Source organism: Homo sapiens, chromosome 9 (genome assembly GCF_000001405.40).
Source record: "Homo sapiens chromosome 9, GRCh38.p14 Primary Assembly".
Taxonomy (NCBI): Eukaryota; Metazoa; Chordata; class Mammalia; order Primates; family Hominidae; genus Homo; species Homo sapiens.
The window spans coordinates 40,994,406-41,018,660 of record NC_000009.12 but is presented as its reverse complement, the minus strand read 5'-3'; the positions used below and the strand labels follow the sequence as shown (position 1 = coordinate 41,018,660).

Below are 24,255 nucleotides of genomic sequence, written 5' to 3'. Positions count from 1 at the left end.
TATACCTGCCTCTTCTGGCTAACCTTCAGAATCGCTTACCTAGAATTAATTAAAGATGCTCTTACTTTCAGGAAAACTGCCTTGGTTTTCATTATTTGGAAAAGTAAAGTTTGTATCTGACGCTTAAAATATGCCTCTGGAGAACTCAAAGAATTCAAAGCATTCTTATATCAGTGCATCTGTGATACTAATCTTTTAGAAAATTATTACACTGCTAATAAAATGTGCAGTGTGGATTCATGCCACTGAGCTTAGGTTATTGCCTCCACTATTTTTGAAATGCTAGTGCCCATGATGTCCTGATGCAGGAACTCATCTCTTAACAAAACAACACAGCCATATACAGAAAAAATAAGGTCCTTTTTCACCCATTCTGGTGTAGGGTAGCTCAATCAATTAAAAGAAATTGCAAAGGCTATATGCTATGGTTTGGGTGTTTGTCCTCTCCAAACCTCATGTTGAAATATGATTCCCAGTATTGAAGGTGGGGCCTAATGGGAGGTGTTTGGATCATGAGGACACATCCCTCTTGAATAAATTAATTCTGTCTCTTGGAGGTGAGTTCTTACTCAGTTCCCATGAGAGCTGGTTGTCACAAAGAGCTGGTATCTCCCCATCTTCTTGCTTCCTCTCTCTCCATGTGATCTCTGCACATGCCAGCTCTCCTTCACCTTCTACCATGAGTGGACACAGCCTGAGGGCCTCACCAGAAGCTGAATAGATGCTGGCACCAGGCTTCCCGTATAGCCCGCAGAACCATGAGCTAAACAGACCTCTTTTCTTAATAAATTACCCAGCCTCAGGTATTCCTTTATAGCCACACAAAATGGACTAAGACACCCTATCACTGGAGTCCACTCAGACTACCAGGTGAGATAAATCCAGGAGCTTCCAGGTTCTTTGTTCTTGATTCTGGCAATGGGTCCAAATAAAAGACAATGAAAGGATATGCTATTGGCTACTTTGTCATTTCATCTTCCTGCTTCCTACCTAATGACCTGAATGCACATGTGCTCCCGCTGTCAGTCTCCCCACTGTGAACAACTCTCCTTTCTCTTTACGAACCTCCTCTGCCCTGGGCAGGCTGGTGACCACACTGCTCTGGGCCAGATACTGTGCCCAGTACAGAGAGGAGGTGCACGAGGAAATGATAAGGCACATCTCTGCTTTGGAGAATCTCATTGCCCAAGAAGACATATAGACAAGTAAACCAGTTACAGAAATAATGGTTAAGGTACACTGGTGGTACGAAGAAGGGACGAATCAGTTTTGCTTAAGATTGGAGGATGCTGGGCAAAAAAGGCTTCAGAGAAGAGGAGGTATTTGGAGAGTGCATTGAAGGTTGAATAGAAGGTTTAGAGAATCAGAATTTGCCTAGTGTACAGAAAGAAAAATTGAAAGGCAGTGGACGGCCATCAGTAGAAGGGTGTGAGGCACAAGTTATTGAGGTACATGAAGAGACTGACAGTCATGATCATTATGAAGCATTAGTTGAAGGGTCACAGAGGTACGCATAAGTATACCAGTGGTAATGCTGCTGGAAGAGTAGCCAGGGGACTGGAGAAAAGAAGGCACCATGTTATGTGCTGGGACCTCATTCATTCTTCATGTCATAAGGAGCCAATTCTTCTCTGGACTTTTCCACATTCCATGCAAAGTCTGTCTGGCTTCCTGTCCATTTACTTTCTGGTCATTCAAGGCCTACCACTGTCCGGTGTCCAGTTGCTCCTCACATGCAGATGGAAAACCTGGGCCAGGTCAAAGTCTGAAGACCTAGAGAACTGGGCAGAGCTCTGGGCAGTGTGGGATCTGCCCACACCTCTCAGAGAGAGGAACTGAGGTGATTGTTCTGAGAGGCAGTGAGCAGGGAGACCCCGAAGCCAAAGGCTGGCAGGATCCAGCAGGGCAGAGGCCAGCAGGGGAATTCAGGGAAGAGCCTCAGGGCTGACAATGGGGACACCTGACTACAGTCAAGGGGATTCAAAGCACAGCCTGGAACCTGGAGGAATCCCCTGGAACATGGACACAGAAATGCGGACAGCTGAAGCCATGAACGTGACCACAGGTAGGGAGCTTGCAGTTAGGGACAGGAGCCAACTTTACTTAGACATAACTCAAATTCATTTCATTTCTGAAGGAAATGAAATTTCCTTCTTTTTCACCTGGTTGGAATTTATTGCTCTCTCCTTAATGGTGCATAGCACCTTGTTTATTTATGCTTTGAGTAATTGTAATATGCCTTGTTTTATAGTATTTTTATACATTTCTACTTCAACTCTTGATTATAAATTTGTTAAGGCAGGGAATATCTATCTATCTATCTATCTATCTATCTATCTATCTATCTATCTATCTATCTGTCTATCTTATCTATCTATCATCTACACACACTAATGGTATTTTAGCTATAGCATACATAAATACATAGGTACATTTTGTTGAATTGAAATTAAGTGAATTAATCCCATCCTCTTTCAGAATAGAAATTATGTTTTCTGGGAGCTAGAAACTATTGTGAGAGATGTTAGTATTGTTGAAATTTAAAAGGGGCTGTCCAGTTCAGTTGTGGCCTGGTGTGTACTGAATGACATCCAAATTCTAAGTAAGTGGAATTGCTATCAGATCTGAAATAAATTAGCCATGCTCGTGAGAAGATGTAGAGTGAGGAATTCCTTCCACAAATGCTCTGCTTATCTGATTATTGGTTAGCCAGTGATTTCCTGTCATCCACAAAAAAAGATGAAATAGTAAGAGAAAAGTAAATACTAGGTGAAGTGCTTTGAGCCAAAGGGAGTCCATATAAGAAGTGATGGATGGCTCTGTTGGGATCCCAGCAGTAGTGCATGATGATGTTGTTGTATAAATACGTCAGCTCCTTTAACCCTCGGGGGACCCTGAAGCATGTGTTTTTCACGGGCCCCTAGCGTGCTCATGCGGGATTAAGTTTCAGTTGCCTACTGTGGTAATTGGCTTGAGAAGCCTATCTTTATTAATTTTCTCCTCTTCCTTGTCTTATTTCTCTTCTCCCCTACCTGTGTTCTCTTCATTCCCTTCCTCCCTACAAAATAAACTCTGTGAGTTTGAATTCTTGTTTCAGGATTCAAGTTTGCTCCTGGGGAACCAAATTAAGACTAAAGAATATGTATTCTCTTTCTTCTCATTTGGCGTTGAGACATTTTAAAGCCTCAACAATTTTCCCTATATAAGCAGTTCCAATTATTTGTGCCTGACTTATAAAAAGTAGGTAATGAGAAAATTAAGGCTTGCAGACAAATCTTACACAATTGCAGCAGAATATCTCAGAAATGTGCCCAATTCTGAGATAGAAAGAAAAGAAAAAAAATCCCACATCTTTATTATGGTTTCCCAATGCCTCTTCAAAGCGCATTAAGTAGGTGTAATCCTCGCCCCTCCCATACGATAGTGGGCAGACCCCATGACTTTTACTAGCCAAGATAATAATCAAAACTCCACCTTATCTTTAATGGCAAACCTTCCTCCAGTTGGAGTGTGCTTTGGGCTGTCCACCTGTGGTGGGAAAGAGAGGAAAGGAGGTATGGTCGGTGTCTTCTCTCCACTTTGTGCCATTTCTCTTTTCTTCTCCCATCTCAGCTGGCCCACCATTTCTGACCTCTTGCTGTTGGAGGAATGGTAAGGAACAAGAAAGCTCTTACAGAATGGACACTGATGTAATCTGGTTTTGCACATTCTATGCCTGGTGGTTGTTCAAAACTGACGCTTTTCCTGGGGCTTGCTTGGGTCCTTTGGAAGACGGTTTTCCAGAAGACTTCTCTCCTACAGGTCATTGTACCTGGTTCATGCATCTCTAGTTGCATGCATTCTTGGTGTTTACTTGTGACGCATTTGTAGCCCCCGTCTAGCTTCCTGCTGGTAGGGCGCTCCGCTCTCTAAGTGATTGTACTGGACAGAACCCCAAATGACCCTTGGCTGGATCTCTCCCACATGGCACACATCTGCTCTACTGAAAATGCTCATGACTTTCCTGGCCCGAGAAGCCTTGCTGATTCCAATACCACCTTACCCTGGTGCCCCAGGCTACTTTAACATCATTGGGCCAAAGTCAGGCAGCATCCTCTGGGTCTCCCAGCTCCATTTAAGTTCATGAAAATGGTCATTTAAGCTTTCTGAAAGGTGTCTTAAGAAGCCTTGTTAGAAGTAGCAGCCCTTCCTCATTTTTCTTCCCTATAAGCAGAAGTGGGAATTCTCCTTGATAAAATCCTCCCCCCAAAAATATCTTCAAAAATCTTGTGGAATCCAATAGTCATGGAAATGGTTCTCAGAATTTTCATGATAAGGTCTGCATATGGTGAGCTGGTTTTGGAATACCCCTTTTGTTGTATTCGATTATCCCAGGGAAACTTTTTTTTCCAACATCCTGTTACTATAGTTTCAGATATCCTGCCATTAGGCCATATTTGGGGTCATAATTCAGGGCACTTTCACCTGTATGGGGGGCCTCTTGGAGAGAGGAGCATATTATTGAAAACAGTAAGCAGTTAATGCTTTATTTTGCTTTATCATTTTATTGGTAAAATTTATTTCAATGCAAAACATATACAGAGACAAGTACACGGTGGTAAATGTATAGCTCAATAAATCTAATGAAATAAACACACCAATGTAACAGATCAAGAAAGAGGACATTACTAGCTTCCAGATGCCCTATCATGTGGCTTCCCAGTTTAGTTCCCTCAAGGATAATGAATATTCTGACTATTAATGTCATAGATCAGTTTTATCTTCTTTTGAAGTTTATGTAAGTGGAATCTTTTCTGTCTGGTCAATATCATGTTTCCGAGATTCATCTATATTGTTGCCTTTAGTTGGAGACTGTTCATTCTCATTACTGGATGGCCATCCTGTGAATATACTTGGGCAGTTAATATTTGATCAATTAATTTCTTCCCTCAAGGGTAGCTCAAAAGTTGACCATGGCCTCCCTACACCGTCCCTGATTTCAATCTGAATCCACAGGAAGAGTCTCACCTTACTCTAATGACTTGCATTGAATATCAGAACACAGAAGTAGGATTTTTTCCAATTTTTAAACAATGTGCAGAGGTAGGCTTTTTCAGGGTAGCAGTTTATTATTTATTTCCATACTTTGTGTTTTATCCCATCAATCTGCTCTTTCAATTTGGCTTAGAGTTATAGAATGTTCGAGCTGGAGAAACCACATTTTCTGAGAAACATTTTATATAAATTCTGATAACAGTTGTATGAACTTCTATTTCTTCAAGAATCATGATAAGTTTTATCACATAGGTCCCAAGAAAAATCTAGGTACAGTAACAACTGGAGATCAGGAATATTTTTCTAAATATTTCTTGCATTGTACTTTTATAATGAGTCTTTTTTCAATTAAAGTGAAAAGCATCAAAGCATGATAGATTTTTTTACCTGAGAAAATGGTCTTTTCATTTATATTTGAATAAAAATTCAAATTTAAAACTTCACCATAAAAGTCAGTAATGTTGACAACTTGTCAGCACCTACTTCATAGATTGATACCCACACTATAATTTAGAATGTGGAAGTTAAAATAGTATCTACACCCTGAATAATAAATAACATGCACTAAAGACTTTTCTTTTATGGAACTCTATTAGTGTCCTTCCTAAAAATAAAATGAAATGAACTTTCCTAAAGTGTTGTAATATTAGTACTATCTAAGTCATCATCCTGGCCTTATGAAATATTGGCATTTTCTACTGGTGTAACTTTTATTAGAAGCATCTCATCATAACTAGTAGGATCATCTCAAAGGGGTTGCAACACATTAGCAGGTAATGAAATCAACGTAGTGTTTCCTGAACGGTATCGGGTGGGTGGGGGGGAAAAAGAATACACACACACACACAGAGGAAGGGGTAAAAGAGAATAAGAAATATCAAGATGCATAACACACGGATAAGTAAGTATTGTTAAGTACAACTCTTGCTTCAGTTATACATATGTGTGTGCTGGGCTGCAATGTAAAAATGCATTTCTCAATGGATTGGGTCAAAATAGTTTTCAAGTCACTGACTTAAGATTTTATCCTAGGGGATGAGGAAATTAGTCTAAGTGATTACCTCTTTCTGGTGGGATGTTTGTTTAATCTGTCATCTTAAAACACTGCTGAGTTCCTATTTTCAGTTCATTTTTGTATACTACCAAAGCTGCTACTCAAAGGCTGAGCTTCTATTTGCTTGTTCTGCATGGTGCCCACTGGTCCTTACTGTTTTTGATATAGTTATCTACTTTTTAAAGACAGTTTAGCACTCACATATTTTTGTTCAATCTTTACTTCTCACACAAACAGAAAAAGGAAATTATATATTCTGTATCAACAAAGATTTAACAAAACATCCATACACTACAACTGTCTACTTACTAAAATTAAGAATTAGTATATTATCTTTTTTCTTCTTATATTAAAACTATCTTTTCATACACTATTTTAAGTTTATGAACTGAAAGTCTTTTAGAGATAATTTACTTCAATGAACTATTATTATTTATATTTTATAAGCAAATTGTCACAACTTGGTATTAGCTAGCTCTACTGTTCGCTTACAGTCTCTAAAGTTTCTGAAAGCATCCATGATTTCTGCCACAAAGAAGATACTTAGGAACGATTCTGTTTTCCTACTCTGTGACCTAAAATTGACTGGTTCTTCAATGGAAATGAGATCCATATCGGGCACTAAGGGTATACAGAAATAATTGTGGGCAAAAGTACTAAAGCTATTTTTGTTGCACTATATTTTGAGATCTCTTTAAGGCTCTGTGTTCTTACTGATTTATTCCAATTTAATGTATTGTACTATTGCATCCTACTTTTTCTTTTTAAATATATTATTATTGACTGCTACAGACTTTGTGTTAAACTGACAGGAAGTTTTTATAAACAATAACAGCACTCACATTTTGAAAGACTGGTTCCCATTGTTCTCTTGGTCCAATTGCATCTGAACGCCAACAACAAGTTCATCTGAATTTATACTAAGATATTTTCCATAGCCAGGTTTCAGGGCGATTCTGTACATTAATAAGATAGATAAAAGTTAAAAACTAAGAGAAAATTAATTATAGGACATCAAAACAGGACATGTGTATGTGTGTGGGTGTGTACATATCTAAAATTCCAGACTGGACATATTCCAAGTGTTCAAAAGATGCATGTGGCTGAGTGGTGACTCACTCCTGTAATCTCTGTGCTTTGGGAAGCCAATGGGAGAAGTGCTTGAGGCAAGAAGTTCAAGATCAGCCTGGACAACATAGTGAGACCCCATCTTTACAAAAAATTTAAAAAGTTAGCTGGGCATGGTGGTGTGCACATGTAATACCAGCTACTTGGGAGGCTGACGCAGGAGGAGTGCTTGAGCCCAGAAATTTGAGGTTATAGTGAGCTATGATCACACCACTGCCCTCCAGCCTGGGTGACAGAGTGAGACTCTGTGCCTTCAAAAAAAAAAAAAAGCTACATGTGACTAGTTGTTGCCATATTGGACAGTACAGTTTTAAATTTAGTTTTATATTTTGCTTTTTTAATATAAACATTGTACCTTATATATTACATAATAAATATTTTCAAAATTCATCATGCTTCAATTATACCTCTTTAGTTATAAACTTCAATAATAAATTACTAAAACTTTATGTCATCAAACTGTTTTCCAGAAAATGCTGCTTCCATTTACATTCTTACCTCAAATTAACAGAGTATGTTTTGTATCATGGATTTTTTTTTTAAATGTTATGACTCTAAAAAAATACTTGAAAACCTGATATGAAAAAAACAGTATCCTATTAATTTGCATTTTAGTAGTTAACTAGAATAACAATTATTTTTCTTTTCCTTTCCTTTTTAGTTTTTAGATTATCTGGTAATGCCCCTTGTCCATTTTTCTATTCAGATCTGATTGTTCGCAATTTTTCTACTGGGGTCTTCAGTGCTATGAATTCTATACAAGATACATATGAAGAGTAAGAACTCACTGCCTATTAAGATTGTTGCAAATATTTTCTCATTTGTCAGTTTTATTTATAATCCTTTTTTGTTTATAATTGTAAAGCAGTTTAAAACTATTGAGTTTTTCTTCCTCTGCTTTTATTCTTTTTCACCCTACTTATCACTTTCAAAGAAAGTATAGAAATAATCATCTTAATGTGATTTTTTAAAATTATGATTTCTTTTACCTTACCAAGAATCTCCTCGGATGCCAGAATTGACTTTTACTCCCTTATACATTAATGATTATATAACAGAAATCATTATCATGTTGATGTAACCAATTACTAAAATATGTAAATTCACTTTCAGTATCTTTTACCCAAAGAATCATTCTATACTTCTGCACAAGGTGAGAATAAAAAATAAAATGACTGTAAAAATAGTGAGTACAAATATTCTTTTGGTCGTTATGATGCTGTAACATTCTCTGCTGGTTTCAACAATATTCCTTTTTTTTAGTCTTCCTGTTTGTCTTTGGACTTCCAAACAGTGAGTTTAAATATCATAGCAACAGTGAACCAGGTTTTGTACTATTTGATTTATTTTTTAATCTATCTTATTTGCCGTATAAAATTATTAATCTTCATCTTTTAACTTACATATCTTTTCTCCAGCCTAGCATTATATATTGAGAGGAAATCCACTAAAAGTAGATCACAAAATCTACTTTTCAAAAAAGCTATTTTGTTTTTTATATCAAAATTACCATGGGCTTAAGACAGATACTAAAATTTTTAATGAATACAATTAAATTTTTAAAATAACTGGTTACTAATTATATTACAATATAAGTTCACCTGGAATCAGATAATTTGACAGCCATAAACTGCTCTGGAGGACTAGGGCCCTCATCAACTATTGGAGAAAAAACATTTGAAAATAAATTTGACATATGCTATAAATATAAAGACATTATTTTGCTTTAAAAAATGTGGCTATTTTCTTCTGCAATTAAATGTAAGAATATTCAGATATACTGATGTCACTGTAATACTGTATCTTTGGAATCAAGATCTATTTTACCTTCTTTTAACTATAGTGCTAATTGTATACACTGAGTAAGACAGGGTGATATAATGCTTATTTAATAACTTTCGAGATAGCTTCTCTTTGTTTTAAAATACAGTCATAAATAAGCACTTATTTAAAAAAGCTAAATGCTTTCATTTATTCAATGGATGGCCTTGCTGACGAAATGATACTGCTTTTTATCTTCTAATTACTTCGTATCTCATTAGTGCTTCCTCTAATGGGCTAAAGAAAATGTGGAAACTTCAAACTGTTAAATGCACCCAGGTTAGTTTTGGTAATAGGTCTGAATAAAAAAGAAATTCAAATATGTTTGACTCAAATAGGTTTTCTTTTTTCTTTCCACTTACTATTTTAATTATTCATATTGTTTGGATTTCCAAAGATACTCTTCTGGAACTATACGGAATGTTTTCAAATGCTTATATTAGAAAGAGGGACTTGCCAATGGCTGGTACATATTAAGGAATTTAAAAAAATGGAAGAGTCAAATGCAATGGTTCCATTCCTTTGGAAAATGTTTGAGACTAGTTAGAGTTTGGCCTAAGTGAATGAATGTCCTAAAATCTACACTTGTGGCAGGATCTTCCGTTCCAGACACAAACCTTCTTTGTGTGGAGCTCCCAGGGTAAAAAGACCATTGTTGAGTGCATGTATATAGGTTCCCTCATCCACTTCAATGGCTATGGTTCCTGAAATTTCACCAAAGTTTGTTACTGTTCACCAGATTCCTAAAAAATAAAATTGATATTTCAACTTTATATTTTAGTTTTGACACAGAGTTCTTTGTTATTGTAACTGAGTTTTAAAAACTTTTTATTTTGCAGTCGTAAGAAATACTATGAAGATCTCACATATCCTTTACTCGCTTTGTCTCAGTGATAACATCTTGCATAAGTATCATACATTGTTAGAATCCGGAAACTGACATTGATATAATCCATGAAGCTTATTCAGATTTCACCAGTTTTACATGTACTTGTTTGCACGTATGTGCACAGATTCATGCGACTACCAGCACAGTCAGGATTAGGTTTTTAAAATACACAATAGCAACATACAGCCAGGCATGGGGGTGCATGCCTGTAATCCCAACTACTCGGGGAGCTGTGAAAGAGGATCACTTGAGCCCAGGAGTTCAAGGTTATAGTGAGCTATGATCATGCCACTGCACTCTAGCCTGAGTGACAGAGCAAGGTCCTGTCTCAAAAAAAAACCAAAACAAAACAAAAGGCAACATATGAAGGTACAAAGTGATATATGGAGAACGGTCTCTCTCATGATAGACCCCAGCCATCTATTCATGCCTGCTTTCCAGAGGCAATGCCTATCATAATGCTTCTTAAAAATGCCTCTACAGGAAGACTTTCTAGCATAGTAATTTTTATTTATTTATTTTTTTTGAGATGGAGTCTCGCTCTGTTGCCCAGGCTGAAGTGCAGTGATGCGATCTTGGCTCACTGCAACCTCCACCTCCTGGGTTCAAACAATTCTCTGCCTCAGCTTCCCGAGTAGCTGGGGTTACAAGAGCCTGTCACCATGCACAAATAATTTTTTTTGTATTTTTAGTAGAGACAGGGTTTCACCACATTGGCCAGGCTGGTCTTGAACTCCTGACCTCGTGATTCACCCGCCTCTGCCTCCCAAAGAGCTGGGATTACAGGTGTGAGCCACCGCGCCCAGCCAGTAATCTTAACTATGATTTTAGATTGAAAGCAAAATGAGCAGAATCTATGCCTATGTATACTAATGTCCAATTTGCCAATATAAATGTTAGACTCTAGCAACAATTATTTTAGCAGTTGTTATAAAAGTTTATATCTTAATGTTAAAAAATATCCTCAAACCTCCTCCTAATTTGTACCTTAACTAGAGTAGAAATGAGTCAATCATTAACTGGATATGACATATTAAGGAATTCTTGTTAATTTTACAAGGTCTGATAATGACATAGTATAATATAAAAGTAAAGAACAAAACAGGTGATGAGAGAAAGACATACCACGTTAATTAATGTACATTTATTTTTTTCAAAGTTTTCAACTTCTTTGCCTTTGGTTTGAATGTCCTCCCGTAGCTCAGAGTAATTTGATCGTCTGAAGCCTTCTCTCAGCTCTTCAAAGTCATTCTCCGTCCAGCTTTGTTCCGTTGCTGGTGAGCAGCTGCGTTCCTCTGGAGGAGGAGAGGCGCTCTGATTTTTAGAGTTTCCAGTTTTTCTGTTCTGTTTTTTCCCCATCTTTGTGGTTTTATCTACTTTTGGTCTTTGATGATGGTGATGATGTACAGGTGGGTTTTTGGTGTGTGGATGTCCTTTCTGTTTGTTAGTTTTCCTTCTAACAGACAGGACCCTCAGCTGTAGGTCTGTTGGAGTACCCTGCAGTGTGAGGTGTCAGTGTGCACCTGCTGGAGGGTGCCTCCCAGTTAGAATAACTAATATAGAGAAGTGCTTAAAGGAGCTGATGGAGCTGAAAACCAAGGCTCGAGAACTACAGGAAGAATGCAGAAGCCTCAGGAGCCGATGCGATCAACTGGAAGAAAGGGTATCAGCAATGGCAGATGAAATGAATGAAATGAAGCGAGAAGGAAAGTTTAGAGAAAAAAGAATAAAAAGAAACGAGCAAAGCCTCCAAGAAATATGGGACTATGTGAAAAGACCAAATCTACGTCTGATTGGTATACCTGAAAGTGATGGGGAGAATGGAACCAAGTTGGAAAACACTCTGCAGGATATTATCCAGGAGAATTTCCCCAATCTAGCAAGGCAGGCCAACGTTCAGATTCAGGAAATACAGAGAACGCCACAAAGATACTCCTCGAGAAGAGCAACTCCAAGACACATAATTGTCAGATCCACCAAAGTTGAAATGAAGGAAAAAATGTTAAGGGCAGCCAGAGAGAAAGGTCGGGTTACCCTCAAAGGGAAGCCCATCAGACTAACAGCGGATCTCTCGGCAGAAACCCTGCAAGCCAGAAGAGAGTGGGGGCCAATATTCAACATTCTTAAAGAAAGGAATTTTCAACCCAGAATTTCATATCCAGCCAAACTAAGCTTCATAAGTGAAGGAGAAATAAAATACTTTACAGACAAGCAAATGATGAGAGATTTTGTCACCACCAGGCCTGCCTAAAAGAGCTTCTGAAGGAAGCACTAAACATGGAAAGGAACAACCAGTACCAACCGCTGCAAAATCATGCCAAAATGTAATGACCATCGAGACTAGGAAGAAACAGCATAAACTAACGAGCAAAATAACCAGCTAACATCATAATGACAGGATCAAATTCACACATAACAATATTAACTTTAAATGTAAATGGACTAAATGCTCCAATTAAAAGACACAGACTGGCAAATTGGATAAAGAGTCAAGACCCATCAGTGTACTGTATTCAGGAAACCCATCTCATGTGCAGAGGCACACATAGGCTCAACATAAAAGGATGGAGGAAGATCTACCAAGCAAATGGAAAACAAAAAAAAAAGGCAGGGGTTGCAATCTTAGTCTCTGATAAAACAGACTTTCAACCAACAAAGATCAAAAGAGACAAAGAAGGTCATTACATAATGGTAAAGGGATCAATTCAACAAGAAGAGCTCACTATCCTAAATATATATGCACCCAATACAGGAGCACCAAGATTCATAAAGCAAGTCCTGAGTGACCTACAAAGAGACTTAGACTCCCACACATTAATAATGGGAGACTTTAACACCCCACTGTCAACATTAGACAGATCAATGAGACAGAAAGTCAACAAGGATACCCAGGAATTGAACTCAGCTCTGCACCAAGCAGACCTAATAGACATCTACAGAACTCTCCACCCCAAATCAACAGAATATACATTTTTTTCAGCACCACATCACACTTATTCCAAAATTGACCACATACTTGGAAGTAAAGCTCTCCTCAGCAAATGTAAAAGAACAGAAATTATAACAAACTGTCTCTCAGACCACAGTGCAATCAAACTAGAACTCAGGATTAAGAATCTCACTCAAAACCACTCAACTACATGGAAACTGAACAACCTGCTCCTGAATGACTACTAGTTACATAATGAAATGAAGGCAGAAATAAAGATGTTCTTTAAAACCAAAGAGAACAAAGACACAACATACCAGAATCTCTGGGACGCATTCAAAGCAGTGTGTAGAGGGAAATTTACAGCACTAAATGCCCACAAGAGAAAGCAGGAAAGATCCAAAATTGACACCCTAAAATCACAATTAAAAGAACTAGAAAAGCAAGAGCAAACACATTCAAAAGCTAGCAGAAGGAAAGAAATAACTAAAATCAGAGCAGAACTGAAGGAAATAGTGACACAAAAAACCCTTCAAAAAATTAATGAATCCAGGAGCTGGTTTTTTGAAAGGATCAACAAAATTGATAGACCACTAGCAAGACTAATAAAGAAGAAAAGAGAGAAGAATCAAATAGACGCAATAAAAAATGATAAAGGGGATATCACCACCGATCCCACAGAAATACAAACTACCATCAGTGAATACTGTAAACACCTCTACGCAAATAAACTAGAAAATCTAGAAGAAATGGATAAATTCCTTGACACATACACTCTCCCAAGACTAAACCAGGAAGAAGTTGAATCTCTGAATAGACCAATAACAGGATCTGAAATTGTGGCAATAATCAATAGCTTACCAACCAAAAAGAGTCCAGGACCAGATGGATTCACAGCCAAATTCTACCAGAGGTACAAGGAGGAACTGGTACCATTCCTTCTGAAACTATTCCAATCAATAGAAAAAGAGGGAATCCTCCCTAATTCATTTTATGAGGCCAGCATCATTCTGATACCAAAGCCGGGCAGAGACACAACCAAAAAAGAGAATTTTAGACCAATATCCTTGATGAACATTGATGCAAAAATCCTCAATAAAATACTGGCAAACAGAATCCAGCAGCACATCAAAAAGCTTATCCACCAAGATCAAGTGGGCTTCATCCCTGGGATGCAAGGCTGGTTCAATATATGCAAATCAATACATGTAATCCAGCATATAAACAGAACCAAAGACAAAAACCTCATGATTATCTCAACAGATGCAGAAAAGGCCTTTGACAAAATTCAACAACCCTTCATGCTAAAAACTCTCAATAAATTAGGTATTGATGGGACATATTTCAAAATAATAAGAGCTATCTATGACAAACCCACAGCCAATATCATACTGAATGGGCAAAAACTGGAAGCATTCCCTTTGAAAACTGGCACAAGACAGGGATGCCCTCTCTCACCACTCCTATTCAACATAGTGTTGGAAGTTCTGGCCAGGGCAATTAGGCAGGAGAAGGAAATAAAAGGTATTCAATTAGGAAAAGAGGAAGTCAAATTGTCCCTGTTTGCAGATGACATGATTGTATATCTAGAAAACCCCATCATCTCATCCCAAAATCTCCTTAAGCTGATAAGCAACTTCAGCAAAGTCTCAGGATACAAAATCAATGTACACAAATCACAAGCATTCTTATACACCAACAACAAACAAACAGAGAGCCAAATCATGAGTGAACTCCCATTCACAATTGCTTCAAACAGAATAAAATACCTAGGAATCCAACTTACAAGGGATGTGAAGGACCTCTTCAAGGAGAACTACAAACTGCTGCTCAAGGAAATAAAAGAGGATACAAACAAATGGAAGAACATTCCATGCTCATGGGTAGGAAGAATCAATATCGTGAAAATGGCCATACTGCCCAAGGTAATTTACAGATTCAATGCCATCCCCATCAAGCTACCAATGCCTTTCTTCACAGAATTGGAAAAAACTACTTTAAAGTTCATATGGAACCAAAAAAGAGCCTGCATCACCAAGTCAATCCTAAGCCAAAAGAACAAAGCTGGAGGCATCACACTACCTGACTTCAAACTATACTACAAGGCTACAGTAACCAAAACAGCATGGTACAGGTACCAAAACAGAGATATAGATCAATGGAACAGAACAGAGCCCTCAGAAATAATGCCGCATATCTACAACTATCTGATCTTTGACAAACCTGACAAAAACAAGAAATGGGGAAAGGATTCCCTATTTAATAAATGGTGCTGGGAAAACTGGCTAGCCATATGTAGAAAGCTGAAACTGGATCCCTTCCTTACACCTTATACAAAAATCAATTCAAGATGGATTAAAGACTTAAACACTAGACCTAAAACCATAAAAACCCTAGAAGAAAACCTAGGCATTACCATTCAGGACATAGGCATGGGCAAGGACTTCATGTCTAAAACACCAAAAGCAATGGCAACCAAAGCCAAAATTGACAAATGGGATCTAATTAAACTAAAGAGCTTCTGCAGAGCAAAAGAAACTACCATCAGAGTGAACAGGCAACCTACAAAATGGGAGAAATTTTTCACAACCTACTCATCTGACAAAGGGCTAATATCCAGAATCTACAATGAACACAAACAAATTTACAAGAAAAAAACAACCCCATCAAAAAGTGGACAAAGGGCATGAACAGACACTTCTCAAAAGAAGACATTTATGCAGCCAAAAAACACATGAAAAAATGCTCACCATCACTGGCCATCAGAGAAATGCAAATCAAAACCACAATGAGATACCATCTCACACCAGTTAGAATGGCAATCATTAAAAAGTCAGGAAACAACGGGTGCTGGAAAGGATGTGGAGAAATAGGAACACTTTTACACTGTTGGTGGGACTGTAAACTAGTTCAACCATTGTGGAAGTCAGTGTGGCAATTCCTCAGGGATCTAGAACTAGAAATACCTTTTGACCCAGCCATCCCATTACTGGGTATATACCCAAAGGACTATAAATCATGCTGCTATAAAGACACATGCACACGTATGTTTATTGCGGCATTATTCACAATAGCAAAGACTTGGAACCAACCCAAATGTCCAACAATGATAGACTGTATTCAGAAAATGTGGCACATATACACCATGGAATACTATGCAGCCATAAAAAATGATGAGTTCATGTCCTTTGTAGGGACATGGATGAAATTGGAAATCATCATTCTCAGTAAACTATCGCAAGAACAAAAAACCAAACACCGCATAGTCTCACTCATAGGTGGGAATTGAACAATGAGATCACATGGACACAGGAAGGGGAACATCACACTCTGGGGACTGTTGTGCGGTGGGGGGAGGGGGGAGGGATAGCATTGGGAGGTATACCTAATGCTAGATGATGAGTTAGTGGGTGCAGCACACCAGCATGTCACATGTATACGTATGTAACTAACCTGCGCAATGTGCACATGTACCCTAAAACTTAAAGTATAATAATAAAAAAATAAATAAATAAAAAAGAAATGTCCATTTATGTACTTATGGATAAAATGATGTAATATCTGTGATTTTACTTAAAATTTTTTAGGAAAAAACGTGTGTGGGGGTGTGTATGTAAATGAAACGAAATTGGCAAAATATTGATAATTAATGCTGGGGCCTGGGCACATGGGGGACTCATTATATTCTTCTATGTATGGATTAGTTTGGATATTTCCATAATAAAAAGGTTTTAAAGATTCAGTTAATTCCACTGCACAAAATTTTCTATTCAACTAAACATTTCATGCTTTTCATAATCAATTTTAAAATACATAAAATTTTAGCTAAAATGAAGTTGGACCCTTATCTAACACCAAATACAAAAAGTAACTTAAAATAGACCAAAGACCTAAATGTAAGAGCTAAAGTTAGAAAACTTTTAGAATAAGATGGAAAAAGCTTCACGACAATGAATTTGGCAATGATTTCTTATATAGAACATCAAAGGCACAGGCAACAAAAGAAAACACAGACAAACTGGACTTCATCAGAATTAAAAACTTTTGTGCATCAAGAACCACTGTCAGAATAAAAGGCAACCCAGAGAATGGAGAAAATATGTGTAAACTACATACATTATAAGGAATTAATATCCAGACTATGTAGAGAACTCCAAAAGGACAAATACCACAATTCAAAACTGGGCAAAGGATATATACGGACATTGCTCCAAAGATGATATACAAATGGCCAATAAGCACTCGAAAAGACGCTCAACTTCACTAGTCACTAGGGAAATATAAATCAAAACCATAATGCAATACCACTTCACACCCATTAGAATGCTATTATCAAAACAAATAAAAAACAGAAATCAAGAAAACCAGAAAAACAAATGTTGGGCAGGATGTGGAGAAACTGAAACCCTGTGCAATGCTGGTGGGAAGGTAAAATGGTGCATGTATTTAAATGCCACTGAAGTGTACACGTAAAAATAGAAAAACTGGCAAATTCTATATTCTGTATATTTTACCTCCACAAACACACGAAACCAATGGAGAAAAAGAAAATTAATCAAAATAGACAATTAAAAAGAAATAAAACTAATAAGCAATTTAGATGATTGAGTTATAGCTACAATTGTTTTCAGGAAAAGAAATAATGCTTTATTCAGAATCATTATCAACAGTGTTATGATTAGCAAGTCTTTCTTATAAATGTAATAGTTAATAATTTTAAATTAGTTTTATTTTGTATGTTCTATGCCACATTCACCAAGTACACTTAATATTAAACAAAATTATTTAAATATAATATCTCATTAATGTTTTGCAAATGAAGAAGAAATTTCTGGCAGACAAGCTCCTCAAAATTTTCACACTCTGTCCAAGTAGGGAAATGATACAATAACATTACTTATAATATTGTCAACTGAAAAAGAAATTACTTTGAACAGATGCCAGTATTTCTTCTCAATGAGATTTCAAAGAATAAGAAAGCTAAACACAGTATTATCAAGAATTAAATGTGAGCATTCTGCCTACTTTCTGCAAGTGGCCTACATTCAACCTTTGGAGGTATGCTTATACGTTTAACGACTAAAGTAACATAACATAATACTTAACAGTGCCACTCAGGGGTTTTAGCTGTGAAAAAGCAGTGGATCCTAAGAACAGTGGGCACTGAAGTTGCCTGTCTCTATGTCAGGTTACAGCTCAAGCTGTGTATATGCTGCAGACGCACAAGCTGAATTTAAGAGAATCCGCTCTAAAACATTACTTCCTATTTAGACACATGCTTAAAGTTATTTCCTTTTAAACCTTAGGCAGATGGTGAAATATTCCTGCTGTATTGTCTCACAATGCATAACAAAGCTTTTCACGTATTTTCAGATAGTTGAGAATGTTTCCATATGTCTGGCATGCCTGTAATCCAGCACTTTGAGAGGTGGAAGCAGGAGAATCACTTAAGCCCAGGAGTTCAAAATCAGCCTAGGCAACAAAAGGAGACCCCCATCTCTACAAAAAAATTAAGAAATTAGCTGGGTATGGTGGTACAAGACTGTGGTCCCAGCTACTCGGGAGTTCGAGGTGAGAGGATTGCTTGAGCCTACGAGGTCAAGGGTGCACTGAGCCATGATCGTGTCACTGCACTCTAGCCTGAGTAACAAAGCAACAGCCTGTCTCAAAAAAAAGAAAAAAAAACAAACCTGGCCCGATGCACCAGTGTCATGGCTGATAAGACACTATCAGGGCACCCTCATTCTAGCATCAAGGCTGTGTGACAGCTCACCTCACCTTCTGACTAACCCAGTGCTTCTGTGCTAAGGGCCCCCTTAAACCTCTACCTTCATTATGTGCTTGGCACAAAGGAATGATATATCTTAGATTTGGAAATGGAATTTTCTTCCCCAATCTTACTGTAGTCTAAGTACCCTTCACAGACCTTCTATTAACCCATAGCTTACTCAGCTTTAGTTCCTGGGTAAATCAAATCTGTGTTTTGCAAACTACGATGTAAGTTCAGTTGCTTCTGATTCTAGCAGAGCTCAGTGAAACTCTTTGCTTACAGACATGCTCATTTTTATTAATGTCACACACGGTATTCTCCATGTGAAAGACAGAATTTCTTTCATCCTATTTACCAATCCCTTCAGATCCTTGTGAGGAACCAACAGAACAGCTTCAAAAAATTAAAAGGGTTTTTTCTTTCCCTTCACAAATAGGCACATGCTTACTTATATGGCAAGTTTAGAAAATCCACAATGCAAAAGAAGGTGGAAGGACAAGGAGAAAAAGACGCAGAAGGACTTCCTCTTCCAGCCAAGATGAACTTGCCCTCCCACCATGACCAACGACTGAAGCTGGATAGAATATTTGAGAAAACTGTTTTCAGGGATTGGAACACAGGCAGAACAGGACTGTGATATTTGAGAACAGGAAAACACAGGAGGCAAATCTCACACACACTTCTGTTTTCTGCCCAATGGCAGTTTCTCGACCACACAGAGAGAGGTAGAGACCTCCAAAAATGAGGCAATGTCACTGTCACTAAGCTGAGAGTCTTGCAGTGCTAACGTGTTTGGAGTTCATAGAATAAGGTACTGGAGAAGAGGGAACTACATACAGGTGAGGCCTCAAAAGAGAATGCAAAAGTTCTCTGCAGGTCTGGGGCCAAGGGCTGGGGGGAGTGCATACAGCAGGCAGGCTCCACAAGGCCTCTGCAGAGTGGCTGGCACTTCTGAGGGCTGACTGGAGATGCCAGAGAGCACACAAATTTGGGACATAGCAGAGTGGAGAGAACTCATCAAGTATACCTAGAACATGTGGCTGAGGCCCATGAGGATGAACCTTTCCTAGAGTAAGAGTCACTGTCTAAGTCTACAGGCAAAAACCTAATAAATAAGCACAAACTAACAAAGGCCCAGGCTTGACAGGAGCAAAAGGGTGGTCAAATAATATAACTAGGCATCAAGACATTTAACAGAAATAAAGGTTAAAATGTTATGAAAATGAAAGACTGAATTTATAAGGAAGAATTAACAATCCTAAATGCGTACACATGACAGCTTCAAAATACTTTAAGCAAAAACTGCTCAAGTAGACAGATCTAGAATTACAGCTGGAGATTTTAACATAACTCTCAATACATTGTAGGATGAGTAAAAAATCAGTAAGGACACAGAAGATGTGCATAGTCACAAGCTCCACCAGTTGATCTAACTGACATCTAAAGAACACTGAACCACCGGGCACCACGGCTCACGCCCGTAATCCCAGCACTTTGGGAGGCCGAGGCGGGTGGATCGCCTGAGGTCAGGAGTTTGAGACCAGCTTGGCCAACGTGGTGAAACCCCGCCTCTATTAAAAATATTAAAAAAATTAGCCAGGCGTGGTGGCAGGTGCCTGTAATTCCAGCTCCTCCAGAGGCTGAGGCAGGAGAATCACTTGAACCTGGGAGGCGGAGGCTGCAGTGAGCGGAGATCGTTCCACTGCACTCCAGCCTGCTGGGCAACAGAGTGCGACTTCATCTCCAAAAAAAAAAAAAAAAAAAAAAACCCTGAACCAACATCTACAGAATACACATTCTTTTCAAGTGTACATGGAAATTCACTAAGAATGTATGTTCTCCAACTATACTATAAATGAATTAGAAATCAGCAACAATAACATACCTATAATATCTCTATGTAGTAGAAATTAAAAAAAATACACTTTTAAATAACTCAAGTGTCCATGAAAAGAAAAATCACAAGGAAAACTAGATGATATTTTGAATGGAATGAAAACGAAAGCAAAATGTGTTGACTATAACTAAAACTAACGTGGAATGAAGAGATCTAACTCTCTTCTTAAGAAGCAATAAAACAAGAGCAAAGTAAACTGAAAATAAGTTAAAGGGAGGAAAAAAAAAGACTGAAAATAAATGAAATAAAAAATGAAAAAAAGAAAATAAGTAATACTGAAACAGGCTTGTCCAACCTGAGGGCTGCATGTGGCCCAGGCCAGGTTTGAATGCAGCCCAACACAAATTTGTAAACTTTCTTGAAACATTATGAGATTTTTTTTCCTTTTTTTTGGCTCATCAGCTTATCGTTAATGTATCCTATGTGTGGCCCAAGACAATTCTTCTCCTTCCGTTGTGGCCCAGGGAAGCTAAAAGAGTGAATACCCCTGTACTAAAAGATCATTAATGATCTAAAATAAGTGATCTTATAAAGAATTGATAAATCTCCAGCTAGACTGACTGATCCAGGAAAAAATAGAAAAAACACAAATTACCAATATGAAGAGACTGCAATACAGATTAGATTCTACAGACATTAGAAGGATATTAAAGGAATATTCTGAAAAATTTTATGCCAATAAATCCAACAACTTGGATGAAATGAAATTTTCCTAAAAGACACAAATTACCAAAACTGACAACAGAAAAATCTGAAAATATCTCTTAAAAAATCTTAATTCTCCCACAAAAAACTAAAACCAAACCAAACAAAACCCTCTAGGTTCAGATGACTTCACTGGTAAATCCTATCAAACATGTAAAGAAGAAATCATACCTATCTTACACAGCTATTTCCAAAAACAGGGAAGGAGACAGCACTTCCCATCTAATTTTATGACACCCAATATCACCTTGACACCAAAATCAAATAAAGACATTACAAGAAAAGGATACAAAAGTCCAATATCTCCATCAACACCAATATAGAAATCTTAAAAAAAAAAAAAAAACCTAGAAATCAACTCTAGCAATATTCCAAAGGACAATGCACCACAACCAAGTGGGGTTTATCTCAGGGATGTAAAGTTAGTTTAAAAGTTGAAAATGAAACCAATGTAATTCACTGGCAGAATGAAGAAAGTTGTATAATCATCTCAACAGATACAGAAGGAGACATTTGACAGCATTAAACATCGTTATGATAAAAACTGCCGAGAAACAAAGTTTAAAAGGAATGTCCTCATTTTGATAAAGGTTTTCTCTGTAGATCGTACAGACATCATACCATATGGTGGACTACTGAAACCTTTCTGCCTAAGCTTGGAAACAATGCAATTATGCCCATTCTCGTGACTTCTGTTCAACACTATGGAAGTCCTGGACAGTATAATAAACCAATAAAAAGCAAGACAAGACATTAAGATTCGAAAGAAAGAAGTAAAATGATAGTCACAGGAAACATAATTGCAAATTTCTTAGTTTTCTATATAAACAAACCACTAGAAGTAATAAGTGAAACAGACTTATCAGACTATAAAGTCACTATACAAAAATCAATTGTATATCTACATACTGACAGCAAACAACTGGAAAGTCAAATTCAAAAGTTCTACACAGTAATGTAAAATTATAAAATACTTAAGAATAAATTTTTAAACAGGCATGCAAGACTGCTACATTGAAAATTATGAAATATTGAGGCCCAATATTAAGATGTTGATTCTCCCCCAAATGATCTGGACTCAATACAATTCTCCGAGAAAATCCAACAGGCTTCACTGTAGAAATTAATAAACTAATAGTAAGTACAAAGTTGGAGGACACACACTACCTGATCTCAAGACTTCATGAAATTATAGCAATCAAGAGAAATATACCAAAAGAAAAACAGACAATCGATAGAACAGAGTCCAGAAATAGACCAATACATAGAAAGTTAATTGACTTTTTATGAAGATATGAAACTGGATTAATGGAAAAAGGAAACACCAGTGGTGCTGGCACAAATGGCTATCAAGATGTTAAAAAAAAAAAAAAGTAAATCTTGAAACCAAACTCACACCATGCCAAAAATTAATTTGAGATTAATGACAGATTTAATGTAAAAACTAAAACTATGATGCCTCTAAAAGACAATGTAGAATATCTTCCTGACTTTGGGGTAAGCAAAGATCTCTTAGATCAAAGAGATAAGGCAGTAACCATAAAAGAAAAAAAAATAAACTAAGCTTTATAAAAATTAAAAGCTTCTGACCATCCTGGCTAACATGGTGAAACCCTGTCACTACTAAAAACACAAAAAATTAGCTGGGCGTGGTGGCAGGTGCCTGTAGTCCCAGCTACTTGGGAGGCTAAGGCAGGAGAATGGCGTGAACCTGGGAGGTGGACCTAGCAGTGAACGAAGATTGCGCCACTGCCCTCCAGTCTGGGTGACAGAGCAAGACTCCATCTCAAAAAAAAAAAAAAAAAAAAGCTGTCCATCCAAAAACCACCATTAAGAAACTGAAAAGGTAAAACTCAGACTGGGAGAAAAGACTGATAACACCATCAACTCTTGGCAAGGATGTAACTGGAGAACTAATTCATTCTTGTTGGGAGGATAAAATAGCACAACCACTTTAGAAAATTTTTGACAGTTTCTTATATAGTTAAACATTCAACTATCCTTTGACACAGCAATTCCACATCTACATATCTACCCTAGATATTTACCCTAATTTTAGAATTGTTGATTTGCCATTTCAAAAGCAATGATCTTCCAGAACATTAGCTTTACACCATTCCATATTTTATATATTTTTTAAGCTACCATAATTTATGAAGATTCAAAATGCAACTTGCCAAGTTTTAAAAAAGAAAAAAAAGTATGGAAACAGCTAAACGGAAAACAGGCTGGTTAAGTGTGTTTGGGTCAGTTTATTTCTAGTATCATTTACAGGCCACCCTGATATTGTATTTAAAATTTTCATTCATTTCAGAGTTCACAAAATAATGATTTTTCCTGTGAAGATACTTCGTTTAAGAGACAACTGACTTCTACAACTAAAATGTACAGATGTTCAAAGAAAATAGCTTGTAAAATATATTTGGTTGAATAACATTTACATTAAGCCTTTAAAATTATGTATCAGAATCTCCGGCTATTAAGCAGTCTAATGGTGCCTACTAAGTCAGAGTGTTGTAATTCTTCTCTCCTGTGCTCTGTTCTGATAATGAAGTAAAGGCATCAGTAGCATCTACTGTGCTAAAGAATAAATGGAATTTACAACTGTAGGCAATATTTAAGCACTTTAAGACAAATATGAATACATCATAAATTTCTAACTAGGAAAATATTTTCAATGAGATCTCAAGAAATGTTAACTTTTTTCAGAATAAAGCACTGAAAACTGACTCACCAACATATCAAGCTGGGTTTCTTCATCTTCTCTTTTTCTCTTCTTATCTTTGCTCTTTTTCTTCTTACTACAGGAAATAATTTATATAGATGAGTTTAAGTATATTGATTTGTGTGATAAATAAATATCGTAAGATTGAAACTTGGAAGTCTTTTAAGTTGTTTCATTTATAAATTATTGATTTAGGAAGACTTACATTGCTATGCCCTCTTAAATACAGTACTGAGAATTTGCTTCAGGCTTTGTACATATTATGTTAAAGTTCAAAGCAGATTGTAGAGCCACACCGCCAGA

General features: G+C 37.2%; 2 pseudogenes across 3 annotated transcripts in view; one reads left to right on the top strand and one right to left on the bottom strand.

Annotated features, from left to right (window-relative positions):
* PGM5P2 (phosphoglucomutase 5 pseudogene 2) overlaps nt 1–11,650 on the top strand; it is a 67,615-nt pseudogene extending 55,965 nt beyond the window's left edge. Inside the window, exon 9 of the transcript NR_002836.2 lies at nt 11,127–11,650. The product of NR_002836.2 is annotated as a phosphoglucomutase 5 pseudogene 2 (transcript). The remainder of the gene's footprint in view (nt 1–11,126) is intronic.
* The window catches only part of FRG1HP (FSHD region gene 1 family member H, pseudogene), a 46,843-nt pseudogene that overhangs the window by 20,443 nt on the left and 2,145 nt on the right, over nt 1–24,255 (bottom strand). Inside the window, exons 3-6 of one of the 2 annotated variants that reach the window (NR_034006.3) lie at nt 23,962–24,028; nt 9,655–9,780; nt 6,931–7,044; nt 4,522–4,880 (exon numbers count right to left, since the gene is read on the bottom strand). The product of NR_034006.3 is annotated as an FSHD region gene 1 family member H, pseudogene, transcript variant 1 (transcript). Of the gene's footprint in view, nt 1–4,521; nt 4,881–6,930; nt 7,045–9,654; nt 9,781–23,961; nt 24,029–24,255 lie in introns of those variants that run through there. The other variant, NR_156730.1, reaches the window with a different exon arrangement.